The sequence below is a fragment of the Homo sapiens genome, chromosome 1 (genome assembly GCF_000001405.40).
Source record: "Homo sapiens chromosome 1, GRCh38.p14 Primary Assembly".
Taxonomy (NCBI): Eukaryota; Metazoa; Chordata; class Mammalia; order Primates; family Hominidae; genus Homo; species Homo sapiens.
In genome coordinates, this window is record NC_000001.11 from 237707448 (window position 1) to 237732273 (window position 24826).

A 24826-nucleotide genomic window follows, 5' to 3' on the forward strand; every position below is an offset into this window, starting at 1 on the left:
AAATAGTTACTACTTTTAAGTAAACATTTTTCTGACTTGTCAATCTCTGTAAGATTAATCAATAAACACAGCAGTAAAAACTAATGATTTTATAGCCAGAGACAAAAATAAAACATTCAACTTTTAGCAATCCACTTGTAGCCATCTGTTATATAGAGAATGTGAAGAGAAGGGAGGGTAAACCAAAAAAATGTAGTCTAATGTCTACAATTATTGCATTATTTGTATTGAAAAGTTAGAAGCAATCTAAGTACCCAATAACCAGAATATGGCTAAATAAGTTGTATACATCTACATGCCAGAATATTATGTCATATTTTGTTTTTTGTTTGTTTGTTTATGAGATGGAGTTTCACTCTTGTTGCCCAGGCAAGAGTGCAATGGTGAGATCTTGGCTCACTGCAACCTCCGCCTCCCGGGTTCAAGTGATTCTCCTGCCTCAGCCTCCCGGGTAGCTAGGATTACAGGCATCTGCCACCATGCCCAGCTAATTTTTTTTTTTTTTTTTTTTTTTAGTAGAGATGGGGTTTCACCATGTTCGCCAGGCTGGTCTCGAACTCCTGACCTCAGGTGATCCACCCACCTCGGCCTCCCAAAGTGCTGGGATTACAGGTGTGAGCCACCACGTCTATGTCATCTTTAAATGTTGAAGTTTCAACAATATTTTATGCCCTGGAAATACTCATATTATGAAGGGAAAAATGGAGAATTTTTAAAACAATGAATTCAGAATGTTATATGTATAATATATATGTAAATGAATTTATCTACTGATGAAAACTCCAGAAAAATGCAGCAATGACTTATTAATTTGGGTAGATGATTATGGTTGACTTTAACTTTTCTCTTGTATACTTTTCCCCAGTGCATATATGTTACTTTCAGGGGGAAAAAAGTCATTTTAAAAATGGCCCAATCAAGTTTAGAACTATTATTAACAACTATGGTTATTATTAAATAAGAGAGCAGTGTTCCATATAATCTAACTCTTCCATTGTGCCAAGGATGGGGATAGTTAAAATGAGATAACTGTATATAGTCTCATATAGTAATTATGTAGCAGAGCTTGTCCCTATTCTAAGGGTTAGGGGAACCTTTTCCATTTGGGAATTTTATTTCTTGTGTGAAAATGATTTCCAAAATGAGTGAAAGTCTTTTTTTTCATTCTAAATTAGCTATCTATTCTAAAAACAAGGAAGATCGTTGAATTCAACTCAGTAAACATTTTTTTAATGGCAGCTATGCAATTAGAACTTGGACTAGAAAAATGGCTGAGGCATGAGCTGTACCCTTAAGGAAGTCATGTGCTGGAGAAGGAGGCTTTAATTATGTTACAATTGTAATTACAATCTATCATCATGTTAATGAATGGTTTTACAGAGCAGAATACTAATGTCTGTCTTTAAACAGTGTTTTCCCAGCCTATAATAAATAAAGTGAAACCTCAGCTCTTGAAAACTCATTTCTTGCCGTTAATGGAGAAACTCAAGAAAAAGGCAGCTACGGTGGTGTCTGAGGAAGACCACCTGAAAGCTGAGGCCAGGGGGGACATGTCGGAGGCAGAACTCCTCATCCTAGATGAGTTCACCACACTGGCCAGAGATCTCTATGCCTTCTACCCTCTCTTGATTAGATTTGTGGACTATAACAGGTATGATCAAAAGTAATTTAGTAATTTCTCCAATTCGGTCATAACGTTTCTTGGCTCACATGTCCTTGTTCAATCGCTTCATTCACTATTTTGCCATGAGCTTGTTGGTAATTATAATTAACTGTTTATAGGCAAGTTAATTTTTGGCTTAAAATTAAAACACCTTAAAATCAAAGTTGGCCGTTTCATTCTGATTTTGCATGTAAAAGTTAACAGTTTGACAGTTATGATGTTTAAATTTTTTTTTAAATATTACAACACTGTGCTGAAACCATCATGAGCTCTGTGGTCAGTACATTTAACTTTGGGGGGATGGTTTTTTTTTTTTAAATTAACTTTAAGGAGTAGCTGAGAAACCACTTTATTTATTATGTGATCCAGGGCAAAGTGGCTAAAGGAGCCTAACCCAGAAGCAGAGGAGCTCTTCCGCATGGTGGCTGAAGTGTTTATCTACTGGTCGAAGTCCCATGTGAGTGTGAAAATATTGATAGATCACGCCTACTGTTTGTAGGCACCTGCTTACTTGCCTCCTAGGTTTCATGTAACAGTTGAGGAGAGAGAATAGGTTCCCCTGAGGAGTTTGAGGGAATATAAACCTTCTTCTGAGTTTTGCAATTTATCCTTTAAAAAAATCACAGGGATTTTTAATTGCACTCCATAAACATATTTTAAATTTGCCCCTAAATTTTGGACTAATATTGACATTGCATAAAGATGTACTATTTTTACTATCTAGCTTTCCCTATCTCTTGGCATTTTGTTCTCTTAATTTGCAGTTCTCAGTTTGAGACGTGCTTAAATAGACTAGCAATTTCCAACAATAACCCACACTCATTTTACTTGTAAAGGTACTGCTTCCATAAATTTGTTTTATCTTCACACACTTTACACCTAAGGAATTTAGTTTGGCTCACATTTTAGAATCTGTTGGGTTTTAAAATAAAGCTTCTTTCTACTGACAATCCTGTTGATAGAATTTCTAAAGTACGTATTTGGTGAATTTTCACTATTTTGTGTATTGCAAGTGGAACTATGTATTTTTAAACCTGGAAAAGATTTTAATCATAACAATCGTATAGTAGTCTATCATTATTTCAGTAACTAGCAGAATATAGATAAAAGAGCATTGATGATTATCCTGAATTATTTTAAAAATTTAGAATTTTTATATCAATTATAATTCTATGCCACTCTGTAAATGAGAGACAAAGAAAATAAAAATTTCAACCTCAGTTTTATCATCTGAGATATCTTACCAGTTTACTTAATCAGACTGTTGTACAAATCAAGTTACTTTGAATACATAATATTTTTTAAATATGCATATTTAATATTTGGGATGACAAATATTATTTATTGCCTACATCTGAGGAGTCTGTCAAACTTAATAGCAAACTTTATATAAAAACATACATTAAAAACATAATCACTCAGAAAGGATATATGAAATAATGGCTGCTTAACATGCAACTTTGTATCTTCACAAAGATACAAATTTATTTATCCTGTGTAACTCATGTTTGGGGGATGCAATAGATCATCCAAGGTATTCTGAAGGAAAATTCAAAATCCACTGTAAAAAGATAAATAGATTAGGTATGTAGATAGATAGATAGATAATGCATGCCCGGTGACAGGTGGGAGCATTGCTTGAGCTCAGGAGTTAGAGGCTGCAGTGCCCTATCATTGCACAGCTGCATCCCAGCCTGGGTGACAGAGCCAGACCCTGTCCCTAAATACATACATGAATGAATGTATAAATAAATGAATTCCAGAAGAAATCAGTCCATTTTGAGCTGCCAAAAAACAAAGATGAATTTTTGCTTTTTGCCTGTTGTTTTCCCTGTTGGGTTACTTCACTTAGAATGCCTCATGGGAAAATAGGGGGAGCCCAGGAAAAAATTACTAAAAACTGCATATTTTTATTTGAAGAACTGAAACTCTTCAGTTTCCTCGATCATTAAAATGCCGAAGAAGCGTCTTTAGATTTAGGTACAAGACTAAAGTTTGGAACAAGAGTATTTATCATAATCAGTATGTTTTCAGATGAATGTCTAATCATACTTTCAAGAATAAGCAAAAATATCTGAATATGTACTTTTGAATCTCATGGGCATATATTAATATAAACATAAATTGGCTAATGTGTTATGTTTTTCCCCAAATATTTAAAGATAAATTGATTTTGCCAGTCTTTTTATGTTCCCAAATTAAAAGGGAATAAATAATGATATGGTATTTTAAAAACAGGTAAAAAATCTGACAGAATAGAAAGTTACGTCATAGTTCTATGTGTCCTCGGAAAGTCTATGTTAATCTCAGGAATCAGTATATGCCTTTCACCAGCTAACCAGGCGTTTGAATATTCATTCTACTCCTTGGTAAACATGTGATCTTGCAATGAAATTTTCTGAATCTTAGTTTTCCCATCTTTGCAATGTGCATATTCATATCTAGTTCACAGAATTCTTGCTTCTAGCCAAGTACCCTCATTAGATACTCAAGAAATACTTGTATCCTTTTTTGATAATTCTTATATATCAAATTAATACTTATCTCTGTAAAAACTTGCAGGTTCTGTGTAACCTCTAATTACAAAGACTTCTTTAAGTGGTTTTAACTGAAATTTCCTTTGCAACTTCTCAGAATTTCAAAAGAGAAGAGCAGAACTTCGTTGTACAGAATGAAATCAACAATATGTCTTTCCTTATTACTGATACCAAGTCAAAGATGTCAAAGGTATTACTATAAACTGTTTCACTGTTCTGGAAAATATCTGAATGTGACTTTCATGAATTGACTTTTTTTTTTTAGATTTTCGAAGATTTGTAACTGGAATCTGACAGATTTGGTAATGTTATAAATTGGTTCAAATATGCAAGCTGTTTTAAGGTTACTGGAATTTGTTTGAATCAGGCATGGTAAGACATGCAGACGGGAAATGACTGTCATGAAGGAAGACATTTCTACTGACAGATCCCTGGAAACAGGAGGCATGGCATGCCAGGCAGGGCCCCCCGGGGAGAGGTCAGGGTCAGTCAGGAGGTAGAGAGAGCAAGGAGAAGACGTGGGCGAGAGCTTGCCTCGTGGTCTCCACTGGAAGGAATGGACAAGGCAGGGCAAACAGGTTTCTGATTGGCTAATTTGAATACTTTTCAGGGGCTCCACATCATAGGGCCTGTCCTTGGCTGCCTGGTACCTAGTCCCAGAGTGATTAGAGCAGGTGGATAGTAGCCCAGAGTATAAGAGCCCGATAGGTGAGGCAGGGGTCAGTGTGGGCTCTGGGTTGGTTGACTTGTATATGAAAAGCAAGCTCCCCAAACCAAGGAAGCCATTTCCTTCTCTAGGACTTGCCTAACGATGGGAGGGACTGCTGTCTCCCCAGGATCAGCAAATCTCCAAGATGTCAGAGCAACAGAATAAAGACATGCTTCACACACACACACTCACACACACACACACGCACCCCCCACTCACCAAAAGTCAGTATAATGTATGTTTAACATGTCAACACTATGTGTCCATCAAGTGTGAATATTTGTGTGCTTATGTGTACCAAAGAAACAGACCTCAAAATAAATTCGCTGCATTATTTAAAAGCCACATGGACGAATTCCAGGTTCTCACACATGAAGTGGGAAGTATCTTTCCAGATTTTTGTTTTCTCTGTCACTCGTATTGGGGAGGGGAGTAGCTTCCATTTAAAGCATTTTAAAGGGGCTTTATATGTTTAATTCCTGCTAAATGAGAAATAAATATATTACATGTGGTAACATTTGGCTGCCAAATGGCCAAAGATCCAAAAATGACTGCTACTCAGGCAGAGCAAATTAGCCTCTACTGACTCAATAAATTCTGGCAACAGAGTAGCTTAGGTACACCCACTCCACTGACCTCCAAAAGTCACCGGATCCTCAGGCCTGCTCTGTGATCTGTCACAAGGGAAGTAGAATGGTATTGCTTGGTAGGCCTAGTCTTGTTTAAGAGTTTTGAATGCCCTGTGTTTGACCCGACAGCACATGAACTAGAAGCTAATGCCAGAAGTCTGTGTATTCCTGTACAGATACCCTTTTCCCTCTTTTCCATCAGTTGAGTCCAGTGATTCTCAAAGATACTCTCAAAGCACTACATGTCATAGAACCTAGAGTGAGACATGCATAAAGATGACTGATTATAACACAGTTTGCTCTTATTTGCAAGAAGAAAAAAGGGGAGTAATAGATAAGAACCTCTCAATTTTAACATTTCTGACCCACAAATTTTCTCAAACTAAAAAATTATTTTTTTGTTTTTGTTTTTGTTTGTTTTGTTTTTTTGAGACGGAGCCTTGCTTTGTTGCCCAGGCTGGAGTGCAGTGGTGCGATCTCGGCTCACTGCAACCTCTGCCTCCTGGGTTCAAGCGATTCTCCTGCCTCAGCCTCCCAAGTAGCTGGGACTATACAGGCGCATGCCACCATGCCCAGTTAATTTTCGTATTTTTAGTAGAGACAGGGTTTCACCATATTGGCCAGGCTGGTCTCAAACTCCTGACCTCGTGATCTGACGGCCTCGGCCTCCCAAAGTACCTGGATTGCACTCCAGCCTAGGCAACAAGAATGAAAATCCATCTCAAAAAAATATATATAGATAGATAGATAGGTAGATAGCATTTATTACAAGTTCTCTGTGTTTATTTGTGGGTGTGAGAAAGGTGGGTTTTGCCTGTTGCATTATACAATTGTACTCTGTTTTTTTCTTAAGATTTCATTTCCTGTTGAAATGTAATCACAGGCCTTGGACATTTAAAGCTAGGCTAATTTTTATAATTACTATATCTAAAATACAAAAAAGTATCTTTTTATAGGTTTTTTTTTTTGGTAGGCTATTTCATTGTGGGAATATTAGAAAATTTTTTGTAAGTTCCCACAGAAAGGTCATGTGATAAATACAACCAATTAAAACTGTGCTTTCTGTTCATAATGTGGCAAAGGAAAGAGCTTGGCTTTCAGAGGCAGATCAGCCTGGAGTGCTGACTCTGCCACTTCATAATCCCTTCACTCATCTTAAACCTCACTGTTCGTAGCAGCAAAATGTTTGTCATGCTGCTTACCTTGATGGAGGCTTGTAAAATCAGAATAATGTGTGTGTTGTGCCTCACAGATTATAGGCATGCAACAAATTTTAATAGATATGAATTGTAGTAACAAAATGATAAAGTTAAAATACAGCTGAATATCTAACAATCATATAGTTAATAAGTACTTAGAAAACGTACGAGAGAAAGAAACTGATAGGATAGTCAAAGATGTCAGAGGTAAGTGAGGATTTGAATAGGTCTTGGAAAATGAGTCTTTTCTAGATGGGTCATAAGGAGAGAGGGTGGAGGAGCCTGCTGATAACCCATTTTATGCAGCCATAGCACTGTTTTTGCTCAAATCTAACAGTATATTTGAAGAAGAGTCTGTTTGATGTCTTTCTTGCCATTTTCCTGGTCCACTATTAAATTTAAAGCTATTTTCTGTGAAATTGTTACAATCATATTTGTATGTTTGTGGGTGTGTGAGAGACAGAGATAGAGAGGAGGCAGAAGCAGAGGTTGATTGATTGATTGATTAAAGAAAGGGCTCAAGTGGCTGGGTGCGGTGGCTCACGCCTGTAATCCCAGCACTTTGGGAGGCCAAGGCAGATGGATCACGAGGTCAGGAGTTCAAGACCAGTCTGGCCAAGATGGTGAAACCCCATCTCTACTAAAAATACAAAAAAAAAATTAGCCAGGCGTGGTGGTGGGTGCCTCTAATCCCAGCTACTTGGGAGGCTGAGGCAGAGCATTACTTGAACCCAGGAGATGGAGACTGCAGTGAGCCGAGATCACACCACTGCACTCCAGCCTGGTGACAGAGCGAGACTCCATCTCAAAAAAAAAAAAAAAAAAAAAAAAAAAAAAAAGGGCTCAGGTGATTGATTTAAGAAAGGGCTCAGGTTAGTCCACTTCCCTTCTTAAATATGCCCACATATGGGCCATGTTATTACATCTTCATATCTGATCCAAATGCACAGATTGAAAATGAAAAAGTGTGCAAATTCATTAGCTTTAGCGGCTCTGTTTAAATTATTGAGCTGCGCCTATGAGCAAGGCACAGTGCGTGGCTTTGAATACAGAGAAACGACAAAACAGGTTTGGCAGCTGCCCCAAAGGAGCTGCATAGTTTGGGGAGGAAATAGGCACTAAACAAATGAACAAAAAATACCCAATATGTGCGTACAGGAGGATATTTTATTGCTTATAGATTTAATTTCCTCATATGAACAGTGACATCACCCATAAATGTTCAAATATTTACTACTCTTTCCAGTTATAGATTTCTTCTGGGGTGGAAAGCAAAATTATTGTTTGTGTATAAGTAGGAATTCATTTGCCTAGTGTTACTCAAAATTGAGCAATTTGTAGATGTGTTTAGTGTTGATTATTTTTATTATAAGCTCACAAATATTTATAAATATTAAACCAGATATAAGCTCCTTCTGCCTATACAACCATAAAACCAAAAGAACTTTACAGGTTAAAATCAATGAAAACTCTAACACCAATAAATTTAGACTAAGAAAACTCCAAACCAATACAATTTAGACTAAGAAAACTCCAAACCAATACAATTTAGACTATATTGGGGATGTCGCTTTGCTGAAACTAAATTACCGGTATTGGATAGAAGTATGTTTGTATAATTTATATCAATTTGCTTAATTTTTAGGATAGTGGTTCTTCCTTTGGGCAATTATTTTTATCATTTTAGTTATGTTGTCCTTTGAACAAAGAGCCCATTTTAAATGATCCATTTTTTAATGAATGAGTCAATTTAACAGTACAAATTATTCATCATATTTTTTCTAATAAACTTACTGAGAATAATCTCTTACAAGTTGGTATGTATAAAAATGGGATTCATGCAATAAGCATATCTTTTTGGAACAGAAGTATAATTCTTACTGCTATGGTTCAGAAGATTATAGGTTTAATATAACACTTCAATATGTAGTTTAATTATTACATAATTGTATATTTTATAACGTAATATATAAGCTATCATTGCTATATGGTGACTCACTTGTTTCACTACTTTCACTATGGTAAAAATGTCTTTCAACCTCATGCTATGATACACTTTACCTTCTGTTAAGTAAAACAAATCATTTGTATATTAAATTCTATTATGTTTTTTCTCAATAGCCCAAGACTATTACAATGTATTTATATTTATAAATATTAAAATATTTTTCATTATCATTTCATTATCACGAAACTATGTTGTAACTTTGAATTACTGCTACAAAATATTCAACATGCACAAATAAGTGGATGTGGGACAATTATTTTAATTTTGACATTAGAACATGCCATCTTGATAGAATACTCATTACCCAGTGAAAATTAGATTCTGTCGTTTAAGGTGACCCTGTGTTACTAGCATAAGCCTCAAAAACATCACAAGAGAGCCCTTGAGTAACATGGCAGTATTCAGTTGTAAACTGGTTATCCAGATCGTCCTGAATATTTATGAAACTCCAATGAGTATATTACTTCTATTTCTACTAGACGGGGACTGAGGCTCTAGGAAGACAAGTTTGCAGACTGTATAAAAGAAAAATGCATTTTATAATTGTTCTGATATATTAGACCACACACACACACACACACACACACACACCATATACATGTATATATATTTCAAAGCAAGCATTTGTCAAAACAAAAATAAGCCCTTTATTCTTATATTTCTTAAGCATTGAAAATTAGAAAGCACACAATATCTGAAATTACTATAGAATTTTTTATATATTTATCTGCTTCCCTAAAATTACAATTTTCATTTGTCTTCTAAAAATTACGTGGGAATGCATACCAGTGAATTATAATGACCTAGGAATCTGAGGGTAGGACTTGAAATCAGCAAAAGATACTAAGAAGGGAAGAGAAAAATTATTCTCAAAACAGGAGGATTTTCAAAACTAGGGAGCAGCAGAAAATGAGGAAGATGAAGTGACAAGTTAGGGAAGAGTCATAGTGGTTCTACATGTGAGAAAAGCAGGTTCAGATCCCAGCACTTCTCTTTGTTCCATAGGCAGCTGTTTCTGATCAGGAAAGGAAGAAAATGAAGCGCAAAGGAGATCGGTATTCCATGCAGACCTCTCTGATTGTAGCAGCTCTGAAGCGGTTACTGCCCATTGGGTTGAACATCTGTGCCCCTGGGGACCAGGAGCTCATTGCTCTGGCCAAAAATCGATTTAGCCTGGTAAGTCTCCTTTTCATCCCAGCGGTAATGATCATCTGACCTCCAGACTCTCAGTGTTTGATTCCTTTGTCTCACTGCCCTATGTCAATATTTCATTTGCATTACATGTTTTATTAAGCAGGTTTTCTAGACAGGCCCAAGACTCAAACATAAAGACTGCTCTTTTTTTGAGGCTGTTTTTATTTGTAAGTTATGTTAATCACCTCCGGGACACATTCAAGAACCAAACAGGAAAGACACAAACCAATCTCTGGTAGTGAAAAAAATGGATTTCATATAAACTTCTATATAAAGTTTGTGATGAGAAGCATACTCAAATTTATGAAGGGTGATTTTTCAATGTTAAAAGCATAATATATTGTGCCAACTGTGGGTAGATAAGGTGTTGACTTTTAAATCAGCTGCTGTTCTCCTCTGCAAGATTTAAGTTCCTCTGCAAGATTTAAGTTCTCAAGATTTTACAATGTCCTCTGAGTTTCTGTTCTTCATAGCTATGCAAATGAGGATGCAATATTTTGTACATTGGAATTTCTATTTTATATTTATGTAAATTGGAGGACATATTCTCCATTCCACATTGAATCACTGAAGCTCGTCACTGAACATGCATCGTTTGACATTCTAAAATGAGTGAATTGAGGGGAAGCTGTGGGAGTGGGCTGCATCACGCAGCTCTACTGGCAGTTCTCTAGAGTTTGATTCTCAGTTGCATTTTCCTTGCTATTACTGGGTCATGGAGGATGTTATTAAGGGCTAAAATGACTTCGTGGAGATTTGGAAGAATACTGGAGATATACTTCTATTTCAGCCCAAGAAAACATGCTATGCCCCCTTCTTCTTATGAATTGGAAACTTGATTCCATTGAATTTCAATGTCCTTACTGTGGAGGTAAAGCAGGTCATTACCTTGCTTCAGGCTACAGCAGTACCAAGAAATTATTTGAATGAGAATGCCCCAAATTTGTAGCATGTAATTTTATAAAGATGTTTCTCAGACGTATACTATTTCAAAAAAGGTTTGGATTGTTTCTATTGACTTGTGACAGTTGATGCAATAGAAGACTCCTTTTAGGTAACATATATTTCTTGACAGAAAGATACCGAGGATGAAGTACGAGATATAATCCGCAGCAATATTCATTTACAAGGCAAGGTAAGCCAAATTTTATTCTTAAGCCACATTTACTACCTATACATTAGTTAATCTCTCTTTAAAATAATACTATAAATAATGTTACTTTAAACATTAAGGTAATAGACATATTTTAATTAGTCATTATCCTACTTGCAAAGCCTTTTGTATTAAAAATTCTAAAGATAATAAATGATATATTTTTAAAGAAAATTACCAGAGATTGTCAAATTTTGGAAAAAATATATGTCATCAGTTGAAATACAGATTGGATGTATTCTTTTTTAATTATTATACTTTAAGTTTTAGGGTACATATGCACAACATGCAGGTTTGTTACATATGTATACATGTGCCATGTTGGTGTGCTGCACCCATTAGCTCATCATTTAGCATTAGGTATATCTCCTAATGCTGTCCTTCTTGATAGAGGAGTTTTAGGGTCTTTTGGACGTAGAGAAGGTGTCTATAAGAAAATGTTGGCTAGGCACAGTGGCTCACACCTTTAATCCCAACAGTTTGGGAGGCTGAGGCAGGCAAATCACTTGAGCCCAAGAGTTTGAGCCTGGGCAACATGGCAAAACCCCGCCTCTACAAAAAGTACAAAAATTAGCTGGATGGTGGTGCACACCTGTAGTCCCAGCTACTTGGGTGGCTGAGGTGGGAGGATGGCTTGAGCCTGGGAGGTGGAGGTTGCAGTGAACCAAGACCGTGCCACTGCACTCCAGCCTAGACAACAAAGGGAAACCCTGTCTCAAAAAACACAAAATTTACATGGAGCGATCAGTAATTAAATATATATTTTTAAGAGTCGTTAGTCTATAGGTGAATTAGGCCATTTTTGCTTTACTATATAGAAATATCTGAGACTGGGTAATTTAGGAAGAAAAGAGGTTTAATTGATTCACGGTTCTGCAGGCTGTACAGAAAGTATAACACGGGCATCTGCTTTTGGGGAGGTTCCAGGAAGCTTAAAATCATGGCAGATGGTGAAGGAGAGGCAGGCATCTCGCCTGGCAGGAGCAGGAACAAGAGCAGTGAGGAGGGAGGTGCCACACACTTAAACAGCCAGATCTCACGAGAATCTTGAGGGCAGCACCAAGGGGATGCTGCGAAGCCACTTATGAAAGTTTTGCCCCGTGATCAACTCAGCTCCCACCAGGCCCCGCCTCCAACACTGAGGATTACATTTCCACATAAGGCTGCTAAACCACTTATGAAAGTTTTGCCCCATGATCAACTCAGCTCCCACCAGGTCCCGTCTCCAACACTGAGGATTACATTTCCACATAAGGCTGCTAAACCACTTATGAAAGTTTTGCCCCATGATCAACTCAGCTCCCACCAGGTCCCGTCTCCAACACTGAGGATTACATTTCCACATGAGATTTGGGCAGGGACACAGATCCACACTATATCAATAGGCTATATCGAGATTTGCAGCAATAGGAATAAGTGAGTTTACCTAAGGAGAAGAGAAGCGTGTACAGTTGGAATAAAAACATGGATGGAAATCGATAGAACACCTACTTTTTAATGGTGGGTGAAAGAATTGTTAGAAGTAGTTTTGGCAATCCAGTGACCATTTACTATTATTTGGAAATTTTTTATACCATTGAATAAATTATTCATTTGTTTATAAAACCTGTGATGCAGTTTTAAAAGTCAAGCTAGTATTTTGACTCAGCCTGTTGTCTTCTATTCTGGGTGTCCCTTCTGAGGAATTTTTTTTAATTATGAAAATACGCAAATGTCAAAAAGTAGCAACAACAATATAATATATGCCTTTCTGGGTATTAAAATGTCTCTTTCCAAAGATCCAAATCATATGATTTTTAAATTAGCATTTTAAAGAATAAGATAAAGGTGAGACATGCCTTTACCATATTCACAATGCACAAGTATTCATTCAGAGCAAATTTCATGTGAAGTTTGATGTGTACTCAGTTGTTTACTAACAATTCTTTTAGAGTGAGATTAATTACTATTAGAGTATGATCTCTTTTCAGATAGCCAGAAGAATTTGAACATTTTTTTAAAAGTTTATAAAGCCTCTATTGGAACTTCAGAAGAAAAGTTTACACTACAAACATTTTTCCCCTATAGGGAGAGACACTAAATGTTTTTATGTACATGGGTATTTGAGAAGATCAGGTACCCCATGAAAGGGTGCAGGGGATCCCCAGGGGACCCTAGACCATACCTGGAGCACCATTATCTAGTTCAACAATTACTGAGTTAGAGACAGAGAGTGCTCAGTACCTCTTAAGAGGAGTCTGGGCCAATCTCAAGAAATGGTCAAATAAAGGTGGTTATGATTATAAGCAGAAAGAAGTTTGTCCATTATATTCTAAAGGTCACTTGTAAGAATATTTTGGACAGTTTAGATGACGTATTCAGGAGACAGGAAGAAGGAAGAGAGCAAAAAAGGAAACATTGATTGTCCATATTTCACCTCCAAATGAATAAGACCTGAAAATAAAGAGGTAATGAATAAATATTCATCTTGTCATTTTATTCTACACTTTCTTAAACTAGGAGTTAGGCAGGCATATTAATGAGATACACAGATTTTCAAAAAATGAATTTTTTTATTCCTAACTTCTTGAATACATTGTCTTGAAATTGTAGGGCTGTTCATCCTGAGGCCAGAGGAGTAATTTTATGTTAGAATAAAGATTCTACTTTATTAATTATGTATTAAATAGAACTAAGAGTACAGATTAAAACCTGTAAGTATCAAACATAGTCCTCAGACTTAAAAAGTAAACGGATGAAAACATTTTATTTTATCAAAGGATAAGTAGTCTTTACAAATCATTTATCCCTATACAAAGCTCTATCTGTCTGTGTTTGCCTGTAGATGAAAATTATTTCTGACATTTTAACTAGGCACTCTCAGTCTGGGAGTTGTGAAGTTTTAGATGTCATCTATTTATTTCTGCTTCATAACATTCAGTCTCCCATTTCTAATGGAGATTCTAAAGTAGAAGACAAGGGGATTGCTTTGTCCGTTTTTTGTTTGTTTGTTTTTTGAGATGGAGTCTCACTCTGTCACTCAGACTGGAGGGCATTGGTGCAATCTCGGTTCACTGCAACCTCCACCTCCTTGGGTTCAAGCGATTCTCCTGCCTCAGCCTCCCGAGTAGCTGTGATTACAGGCGTGCACCACCACACCCAGCTAATTTTTTGTATTTTTAATCGAGAAGAGGTTTCACCATGTTGGCCAGGCTGGTCTCAAACTCCTGACCTCAAGTAATCCACCCACCTTGGCCTCCCAAAGTGCTGGGATTACAGGAGTGAGCCACCGTGCCCGGCTGCTTTGTCCATTTTTAATAACATACTTATTCTATATTATTTCTTTGAACTGATATGTTCTACCCCCATTAAATTGCTTGCTTTTGTCAATTTCTATGACTTATAATAATGTTTCTAAACACATGAAGATTTCATATACGTTTTTCACCAAGGAAATTTGATGCTATTGAAAAGTAAAATGTGTAGACTCCTTTATGATGAGTGTGATTTTAAAAACATCTATTGATTTATATAATTTAATATCTTTGCCTCAGTGAAATTAAGCGCTGTTGTAGAGTCCAAATATTTATAGGTAAATGCTATCCTATATCCTTGCCCATAAAAGTAAACATAGAAATCTTTCTACAATTAGACTGTGAATGGGGAGGAGAAGAGCATGGGTAGCCTTACCCATTTTGTTTTCCAGTTTCCCACTCATCCTTAAGCCCTAGTTACAACGTCTTGTGTTAAGGGAAATCTACCCAACCACCAAAGAGTATGATAAATCTCACGGTATTTTATATTTTGTTTTAGTAGCCCTTATCACAATTTTAAATATTTGTTTAATGTCTGTCTTCTCTACTAGATGATAAATTTCATGATGACCAGGACTTTATCTGTCTTTCTTAGTATTTTTAATTTTTTTTTTTTTTTGAGATGGAGTCTCGCTCTGTCGCCCAGGCTGGAGTGCAGTGGCGCGATCTCGGCTCACTGCAAGCTCCGCCTCCCGGGTTCACGCTGTTCTCCTGCCTCAGCCTCCCGAGTAGCTGGGACTACAGGCGCCCGCCACCACGCCTGGCTAATTTTTTGTATTTTTAGTAGAAACGGGGTTTCACCGTGTTAACCAGGACGGTCTCGATCTGCTGACCTCATGATCCGCCCACCTCGGCCTCCCAAAGTGCTGGGATTACAGGCGTGAGCCACCGTGCCTGGCCAATATTTTTAATTTTTAATAATTGTATATAGTTAAGGTGTCCAACAGGATGTTTCAATATACATAAGCATAGTCACATGATTAGTGTAGTCAGACAAATTAGCATATCTATCTCCTCGCATAGTTACCTTTTGCCTGTATGTGCTAAGAGCTCCTGGAATCTACTCTCAGCAAATTTCCAGTATGAATTGCAGCATTATTAACTGTAATCACCATGCTGTACATTAGATCTCCAGACCTGTTCATCCTACATAACTGCAGCTGCGCGTCATGTCTTAACTGGTAAACACTGTAAAGCCCAATAAATAATGATGGGTGGACTCTTCCTATCTTTAGATTGTAACCTTGTTTTTAGATTCCCATCTTCCCATTGTAACCTTTTCCTTTTTTCTGCAGTTGGAGGATCCTGCTATTAGATGGCAAATGGCTCTTTACAAAGACTTACCAAACAGGACTGATGATACCTCAGATCCAGAGAAGACGGTAGAAAGAGTATTGGATATAGCAAATGTGCTTTTTCATCTTGAACAGGTCAGGCTTTGTGTCAATTCAATCATATTTGCCTTAGCCACATACAAATATTTTAAAAAGAGAATGTGTGTTAATTTGTTAACTATGACCCAAGAAACATATATGTTCAGCATATTCATTCTAAAGAATAAGAGTCCGGTGTGCTTAGTATTTCATAAAGACAATTTCTAAGCTTACAAATCTTGTAGCAATATATAGATTATATATTTTGGGAGATCCTGGCCTTTGTTTTGTTGTCTTTTTTCAAATATTTCTGAAAGTATTAGGATTATATTTTTAAATTATTCTAACCAAAAAATTCAGGAGTTACATCTGATTTCAAATACTTTATGCATACTTCATTTTTTAATATTGCTCATAAAAACATGTTTGAGATATTATCTTTTACCGGTTTAATATTTGAAACATTTTCTTTTTTGCCACTTGTTTAACCTTGCCTTTTATTAGGTATATTTTTGAGCTAATTTTCTCTGAAATCAGGAACAAATTACACTTAGAGAAGAACAATGCATTGATAGATATTAAAATCATGTAAGAAAAGTGTTTTTATATATTTTTTCAGTTGTGTCCTACTTTACACTACAAAGCTCAGTTTGATATTCATTACCTTTGCACAAGAATGTGTAAAACAAGAATACTTGAAACATTATCAATGGGAGGGTCATATTTTTACAGAAGAGATCATCTGGCTTAGGTAAAATATCTGCAACACAGAGATATATTATCTATTTCTCATCAAGTCCATTCAGCAAAATAATCACAGTGAAGAAGCTCATTGTAACTTGACCATCTGATCTGTCACAGGGCTCTTATGACAGATCATACTGTTGATGACTTGGTTATTTTATACTAAATATAAAATAATAATAAGATGCCCTATGCCATCTCAGGAACTTTGCCACCTAAATGTATGTGTGTGTGCATATATATATATATATATATATATATATATATATGTATGTGTGATAAATTTCATAGATGATAAATTAAATTATATATATATAATTTTGTATTGCCTTTAGCCATATTTGAACATATTATCATAGCAATAATAAACATTTTGCTTGTATTCCTGTTTTATATTATCTGAACCCTCACCCCTGCCCTGGACAGTTTAATAATGCAAAGATATCATCTAATGTAGTATCCTTTTAACTTCCTTCTTGCTTACTCAAATACCCTCCCCCAAACGTTAATAATTTCTCTATTGTCATGCAATTTATCACTACACTTGATGAGATTAAAGTCACTAGGATACCCTTAAGCTGTATGGCTATTAACATATATTTACGTTATCTAATACCTTGGAACTTAATACTTTCCCCTGAATAACTTACGTAATATTTTCATGAAATATTAAATAAATACAAATTATCATCAATCAGCAGATGACAAGACTTGTCATGAAATTTTAAGTGATTTATATAAAGTCATAGAGTTTTATCTCCAGAATTATATATATATATGTTTAAGATTATTAAAGGTTAATTAAATGGCTACATTTCTGACAGCATTGCTCTACCATCAGTTTTTAATTCTTCCTAGTGTTTATACATATATATAGATTTGCTTGAATAAATTCTAGATACATTAAATGAAGCTTATAGAAACTGATTCTATTTTATTATATTCCCATATATTCATAAATATATCCAATCATGATGAATGATGGCATTTCTCAAATGAGGTTCACTTTTCTAAGTATCCATTTATGCCTTGGATGTTTATGGAGTTCCCTGTCCTAGGGCAGCCTTATCCCCAGCAGACCTGGAGGACTGAGTGCTGTAAGAGAGGAAACAGACACTTAAACAGATAAATATGGGATGATACGGAGCTGTTAGGATATAAAATGTGCTGAAGAAAGTATAGAAGCAACCCATACTTAATGTAGATATGAAGTAGGTAATCCCTGTATAAGTCTTAAGGTAGGAATTATCTAGAAAAAGTGGGAGGATCAGAGTTTTTCAAACTGTTAAGAATATGGCGAGATTGGTTTATCATGAGAGGAGGGTTTTGAGTTAAAAGAAATTGTCGATTATCAAAAATAAAAAGTGGGAGATATCCTCGTGTTTAATTTATGCCTTTAATATCCCTCTGCTAATGATAACATGTGACTGAGTCACAGAGGAGCGTGCAAAGAATATTTTAACTTGCAAACGTCAGTGTAAAAAACAGTAGGTGGACAGGAAACACTTGTTGATTTAATTTATCTCAAGTATCAGCAGCCTGTTTTAGATGTATATTTTGTGTTGTATATCTGGTAAGTTTTCTTATGAGAGTAGGTTATCTCCATTGAATTTTCTAATAATCAAATTCTAGCCAAGCTAACACATCAGCACATCAAGACATTCAGACAGGGTTACAAGGTACATCTTTGTGTTCGCCTTTGGATCACATATCTCACAGATAACTATTTACTTATCATTGATTTAGAGGAAAGCACACTCAGGTATTTCCTGAAATACTTTAATAGGCAGGTAATAAAATGCCTGCCAAATGATAAGCTTCCTGGTGGCAGGAACCCTTTTTGTTGGATTTTTACTGTATCTTAAATGCCTTAGGAACTTAAAATATGTTTGTCAACTGTCACCCATGCTGATCATAATGCTGTAATTCCTGTAAAAAGCTATCATCTACAGACTGGGGTCTCAAAATGGAAATTTAAATTGAAGTATGTTGGGTCTCATTGAAAACTATTGCCCTTGATTGCTTTTACTTCTATGTTAAAGGCCTAACAGTGGTTTATTTCACTTGACACAAGCATCAAGAAGATGATTGAAGTGGATAATTGTCACCACGTGTTTATTGATCATAGAGGGGGAAGAGCATCACAGAAATAAGTGCTTTTCCGTTAAACAAGTTGCCTCGTGAAAATTTCTAAACCACCGCAGTCCAAACATTTTAAATGTTTACTTCAGACATTATTACAATCATTTTTGACTCTTTACTGCAAAGGATAATAAATGTAGTTTTACTTTTTTAGCTAACATAACATTTTTATTTCTTTCAGAAGTCTAAACGTGTGGGTCGGAGACATTACTGTCTGGGAAGTACAGTGCTCAATGGCCTAGAGATTACTAATTAATTTAGGTTTATATGTTGGGATTTTTTCTTTCTAATACAATTAATCTCTTTCTTCTCTTAGAGTTCCAAACACTATTAGTTATATAAATAACTTGCTTGCATCATTTATTGCAACTTTTGAATTTATATTTGTCCCTATCTAACAAAATATTTACATATTTTAACATTTTTACCAAATTTACTCACTCCTAATACTGTGTTCACAAAGCGTTGTCTTCTTCTCTTTATCCTGCTGTATTAAAGAATAGTAGAATTTTTATTAACTGTCTCTTTTTGTGTTTATTACTTTAGCTCTTACAATAAAATTAGTTACAATGGACATATGAATAAGAATGAGGTAATATTTTATGTAGGCAGAAAATATGTATTAAAATCATAAAGAACCAAAGAAAATTTTGAGAAGGAGATAAAATGATTTTATATGGAATGATTTTCTATTTCTTTGATTTTAGAGGTGACATAGCTTTGAAGTACACAGTATTGGGAAAATGTGATATTCTTACTAAGGGAATTATATAGCATTTGCAACTATCTAAATTTTATCTTTGGGTAACTTTTAGGATATGGACTTCTTCATGATAATCTTAAGGTACTTTTGGAATTGGAATTCCAAATATAGATTACTTAAGAGGGGCAACTGTTTAATACTATATTTTTGAAGATAGTTTGGGGTGTAAATATTTATTTGTTTTTGAAGGTAGTTTGGGGTGTAAATATTTATTTGTGTCATTCTACCTCAGGTGGAACATCCTCAGAGATCTAAAAAGGCTGTATGGCATAAACTACTGTCCAAGCAGAGGAAAAGGGCTGTTGTAGCCTGCTTCCGGATGGCCCCCTTATATAATCTGCCAAGGTCGGAATTACTTTATTTTTTGTAATAGATCAATGTTATTTTTTCCTAGTAAGTGACAGGTGTTTAGAATCTACCTTAATAGGGGTACAATAGTCCAAGAGAAGGATGGAAAAGCTTTATTGATTCTTCTACATAAAACTTGACTAATTTTGTTGGATATTTTCGGAGAACTGTGGTCTTTAATGTAATTATTAAATGACTCTTACTGAGGAATATCTGCTCACATATGTGAGGCAAGAGAGAGTCATTAGGAGTTCTTTCTTTGTCCTGGATTTGAATCAGAACATGATCTGAATCATTCTTTGGCATCAGACTTGTCTTGATTTGAATTCTGACCTCCCAACTTCTCTGCCCCATGACATTGGTCAAGTTATTTACTGGCGAATTTTCTCATCTGTATCATAATGGGATCAGCCTTATAGAGTTGTTCAGATTATTTAATGGGTTGATGTATACAGAGTGCTTAGAAGTGAGCTAGTAGGTTTATGTCATGATAAATGTTAGTCATTATTATTATTTTTGTAATTATTAGCATTAGGGGAAAAGAACTGACTTATGGGAATAATGTAAAAAGATTTGACAGGCCCGTCAACCTTCTCTTAGACATAGAGCAGACATACTTAATAGAGAAGTAGCCTGGTACATTCAAGTCTGGCTTAGGTGGTCCAGGGTACCATTTCAGTCACCTTGGAGTTCTCTGAGAAACTATGCTCTTTCCCACTCTGAAGTTTATACAAATTGCATCACCTCTATGTCTCAGAAACAGGACTCAGCTCAGCTACATCTCTTTTGTGGAACATCTCTGACCAAGCCATGCCCCTCTACTCCTTGCACATCATACCACTTTCCTACAGTATTAAGGCTATTTGTCTCTTTGATTCAGACTTTGAGATCCTGTACTAGTTTTGTTCCATTTTCTTTCTTCAGCACCTAGAACAGTGACTTGTACATTGACATTCAGTAAGAGTTTGAGTGAATGTATAAGGCAAAGAAAAAAAAGAAACATAAGCAAAACAAATAGAGGAAACATCATACTTTTCCCTTTTGCTAAGACAGCTGTATTTCTTGCCATCGTGTCACACTCACTGGGTCTAAAATGTATTAGCATCCTCCTCAAATGTGCTACTTCTCAATTCTCTGACTCAATTATGCTGTCACCTTTTGGTCAGATAGAATATTAACCTTAATATCTAGAACCAGAAATACCATTTAACCCAGCAATCCCATGACTGGGTATATACCCAAAGGATTATAAATCATTCTACTATAAAGACACATGCACATGTATGTTTATTGCAGCACTGTTCACAATAGTAAAGACTTGGAACCAACCCAAATGCCCATCAATGATAGACTGGATAAAGAAAAAGTGGCACATATACACCATGGAATACTATGCAGCCATAAAAAAAGAATGAGTTCATGTCCCTTGCAGGGACATGGATAAAGCTGGAAACCATCATTCTCAGCAAACTAACACAGGAACAGAAAATAAAATACCACATGTTCTCACTCATAAGTGGGAGTCGAACAATGAGAACACATGGATACAGGGAGGGGAACATCACACACTGGGGCCTGTCGGGGGGTGGGGGCAATGGGAGGGAGAGTATTAAGACAAATACCTAATGCATATGGGGCTTAAAACCTAGAAGATGGGTTGATAGGTGCAGCAAACCACCATGGCACATGTATACCTATGTAACAAACCTGCACATTCTGCACATGTATCCCAGAACTTAAAGTAATGAAAGCAAAAAAAAAGAATATTAACTTTGAATTCACATTATCATTTCTTTTTGGTTACTCCTATACTGTCATTGCCCAGATTTCATCAGTTTCCCTTTGAACTACTTCACATTCCCATCCTTCCCTCCATCACCACCTCTTCAAGTCGCTTGTTCCTTGCCTCATATCAAGTTGATGGCAGTGGTTTCTGAGTTAGTTTCTGTGATGTCATAGAGTTCTTCCATCCTCTCCAAAATGTCATTTTCAAAATGGTATCCTTTATTCCAGTGGTTCGCCAACCTGGTGCTTTTAAGAAACACACTTAAACTCATTTAAAAAGTATTCAGGCCTCAACTTATTAAATTAGAATTTCAGTGAGAGCCCAGCATGTGTGCTACTTAAAAGCTACACAGGTGACTCTGATGAACCCAGAAGGCTGAGTCTGTGCTTTGGCATGCCACTCTCACATACAAGAATGTATGATGATTTCTAGCAGTTCCGGCTGCGTTGGCAGTTGCCCCCTCTGATTTCCAAGGCCCTTCATAAACCTGTCTAACTGTTACGTCTCATGAGTCCTTAACCCAATTTGTTATCATAAAGCTCAGCTTTCCATCCTGCAATGGCACCGTCTCTCATTCTATCACATCTGTTGTTGTTTTATGATGTTCCCTTCATGACATTCTTTTATTCTTTCTTACCTTGACATCTTATCCACATCTCTTACTAACTTCATCATGAATTCCACTGATTCTTCTCATCTGCACTGGTCTTTTTTCACAGGCGGCCATTTATGATAAGTAGTGCAGGGTTTAATCTTTGAGTATGTACTCCCATAAAGTTCACTTAATACCTTTTGTTTTGGAATCCTCAGGGCCATCCATTTGTTTTTTAATGTTTGCTTGGACAGAGACTAAGTCCTCTATTGACACTGATTACATTGCTTATCGAGAGACATGTTATATGATAATAGTCATTTAATGAACATCTAATCAATGCGATTTACATCCTTTATCTCATTTTAAGGCTTACAAAACTGAAATGTGGTTGGAGTTATCCTGGTTTTATAAAGGAATAAACTGAAATTTGGGAAAGTCGAGTCACTTGACCAATGTTACAAAGCTTGGAAATGACTGAGCCAGGATTGAAATGCAAGTCACTGTGCGCTATGTTTGCTGCAAGAAGCATTGTCTTTCAGGAGGAGAGTCAAGAATAGAGAATTTATTTCTATTTTACACTTTCAGTGCACAGATAATCTAGTAATAAAGCACTACTCAATACAATTTCAACTTATTTTCTAAACACCCTTTTTCTGAAATTGTGCTTACCTTTCAGGCATCGGGCTGTCAATCTCTTTCTTCAGGGATATGAAAAGTCTTGGATTGAAACAGAAGAACATTACTTTGAAGATAAACTGATAGAAGATTTAGCAGTATGTTTTTAGTGGGGCTCTAAGATGAAAGAGGGTCTAGGCTTGGTGCAGCAATGTTGGCGTGAGCAGTCATTATATAACATTGAAGGAAAAAATATCATTACAGTATATGGGTATTAGGAAACTTTTAAATCTTAATTGTTACTGCATTCAATGCTTATGGGAAAATGTGCTCTTGTCATTTCCAAGAGATCTCATCAACATCAAGGGGTTGAGAATTTAAAATGAATAATATAGAAGTATTATTAATTAAACATGATTTAGTCTTTCTTTTAAATTCCTTCTCAAAGCACCTATAAACACCTGAGAACCAGGATAGACTATAAAAGAATGAACTGTCAAGAAGTTATCCACCTAAATTAAGTAGAAGGTGAACAAAAAATTGCTGGTTTTTAGAAATCAACAGGGCAGAGAATGATAGACTGAACACAGGAGACTGAACACATGGTAAATGTGGAGCATGAGAAGTAGAATTTTCACCAGACTGTGCTGATAAAGAGCTTGTGAGTTCAGCACAGAACAGCAGTCAGTATCATCTTTTCTAAGTCATGGACCCATCTAAATATCTGGCAAAAGCCATCTTCTCAACAAAATTTACAAGCCATCTCAAAACTTGGCAGACTAGTCAGAGGCTTCATGATTCCCAAGATAAAGACATCTTGTGTAAAGTTATTTTTTAACTCACAGATTATTAGGGAATATAATGGATAAATTAATCTAATTCTTAAAAGCCTAATCTTGATTGTCCCCATATTTTAAAATGATTTTTATCTGTCTTTAGAATAAAAAATGTGTAGACTATTGGATATCTTGTGGAAATCTGCCCATTATCCACATTAAGGCTTAATTACAGGAAAGAACACCATTCATGTACAGAGAAAATTAGTTTCCATGGCTAAGTCAGTGGAGATATAAAACTCAACAAAAAGTTGGATGTAATTGAATTCTGCCAATAAAAATGCTTAATAATTTTCCTCGCTATTAAAGTTCTATCCGATAGTAAAAAAAAAATATTTTTTAAGTTTTAAAAGTAACTGAAAATAAGAAAAAAAGTATAAGTGGTTCAAGCATTAACTCATTTAGTATTATTTACGTATCATGCTGTGTGTAAGCGAAGAAAATATTTCACTTTATAAGCAATTTGCACTGCTATGGGAACTAAATTTTCACACTTGGGGTGACTCAGGATTTTATTGCAAATATTTGTAAATCGAGTCCTCCCTAAAGCTAAAATCCATGCAGCAAATATACTTTGAGTTATGAAAATGCTTATAAGAATGGCATTTGGTATTTTTAAATGATATAAGTTATCCCTGCTCATATTAATTTTTGGTCAAATTATTAAATATCTCTGTTTTGAGCTGCATAATTTTACAATGGTAATGTAACAGATATCTAGCATATTATATTACATTTATATATGTTATAGCATGTATATTACATATTTACACTTACATGCAACACATATACATACAAGCTTTTATATACACATACACACATATATACATATATAGCATGTATAATGCATATAAAATACACACACACACACACACACACACACACCCCACAACAGGGAAGGAGGAACGTTCGCATTCCTTTTATTCTTCATTGCTGTCCTTCACAGTGCTTTTGGATTTGAGTGAACATTTTTTTTTAATGTGACATTTTATAAATTTGACTTTTTTGCAGAAACCTGGGGCTGAACCTCCAGAAGAAGATGAAGGCACTAAGAGAGTTGATCCTCTACATCAGCTGATCCTTCTGTTTAGTCGGACAGCTTTAACAGAGAAATGGTATGGTTGGGAGGGTTCCTATGAGACATAGGAGGAGCAAATAAAGACACCCGTGTCTGAGTATTCTGTGCCATGTGTTCATGTTTTAAGTTCATCTTGTTGTTGTTAGGAGAGAGAATTGTTC

At 35.8% G+C, this 24826-nt stretch overlaps 1 protein-coding gene across 16 annotated transcripts in view; it reads left to right on the plus strand.

The window, feature by feature from the left end:
- RYR2 (ryanodine receptor 2) overlaps window positions 1-24826 on the plus strand; it is a 791805-nt gene that overhangs the window by 665264 nt on the left and 101715 nt on the right. For 9 of the 16 annotated variants that reach the window (XM_006711802.4, XM_006711804.4, XM_006711808.4 and 6 more), the window contains 10 exons: window positions 1411-1651; window positions 2033-2120; window positions 4298-4390; window positions 9751-9921; window positions 11015-11074; window positions 15681-15815; window positions 18826-18861; window positions 19640-19752; window positions 22813-22909; window positions 24599-24702. In XM_006711802.4, the coding sequence (XP_006711865.1) occupies window positions 1411-1651; window positions 2033-2120; window positions 4298-4390; window positions 9751-9921; window positions 11015-11074; window positions 15681-15815; window positions 18826-18861; window positions 19640-19752; window positions 22813-22909; window positions 24599-24702 (1138 nt within the window). The remainder of the gene's footprint in view (window positions 1-1410; window positions 1652-2032; window positions 2121-4297; window positions 4391-9750; window positions 9922-11014; window positions 11075-15680; window positions 15816-18825; window positions 18862-19639; window positions 19753-22812; window positions 22910-24598; window positions 24703-24826) is intronic. The other 7 variants (XM_006711806.4, XM_006711807.4, XM_047427333.1 and 4 more) reach the window with 1 other exon arrangement.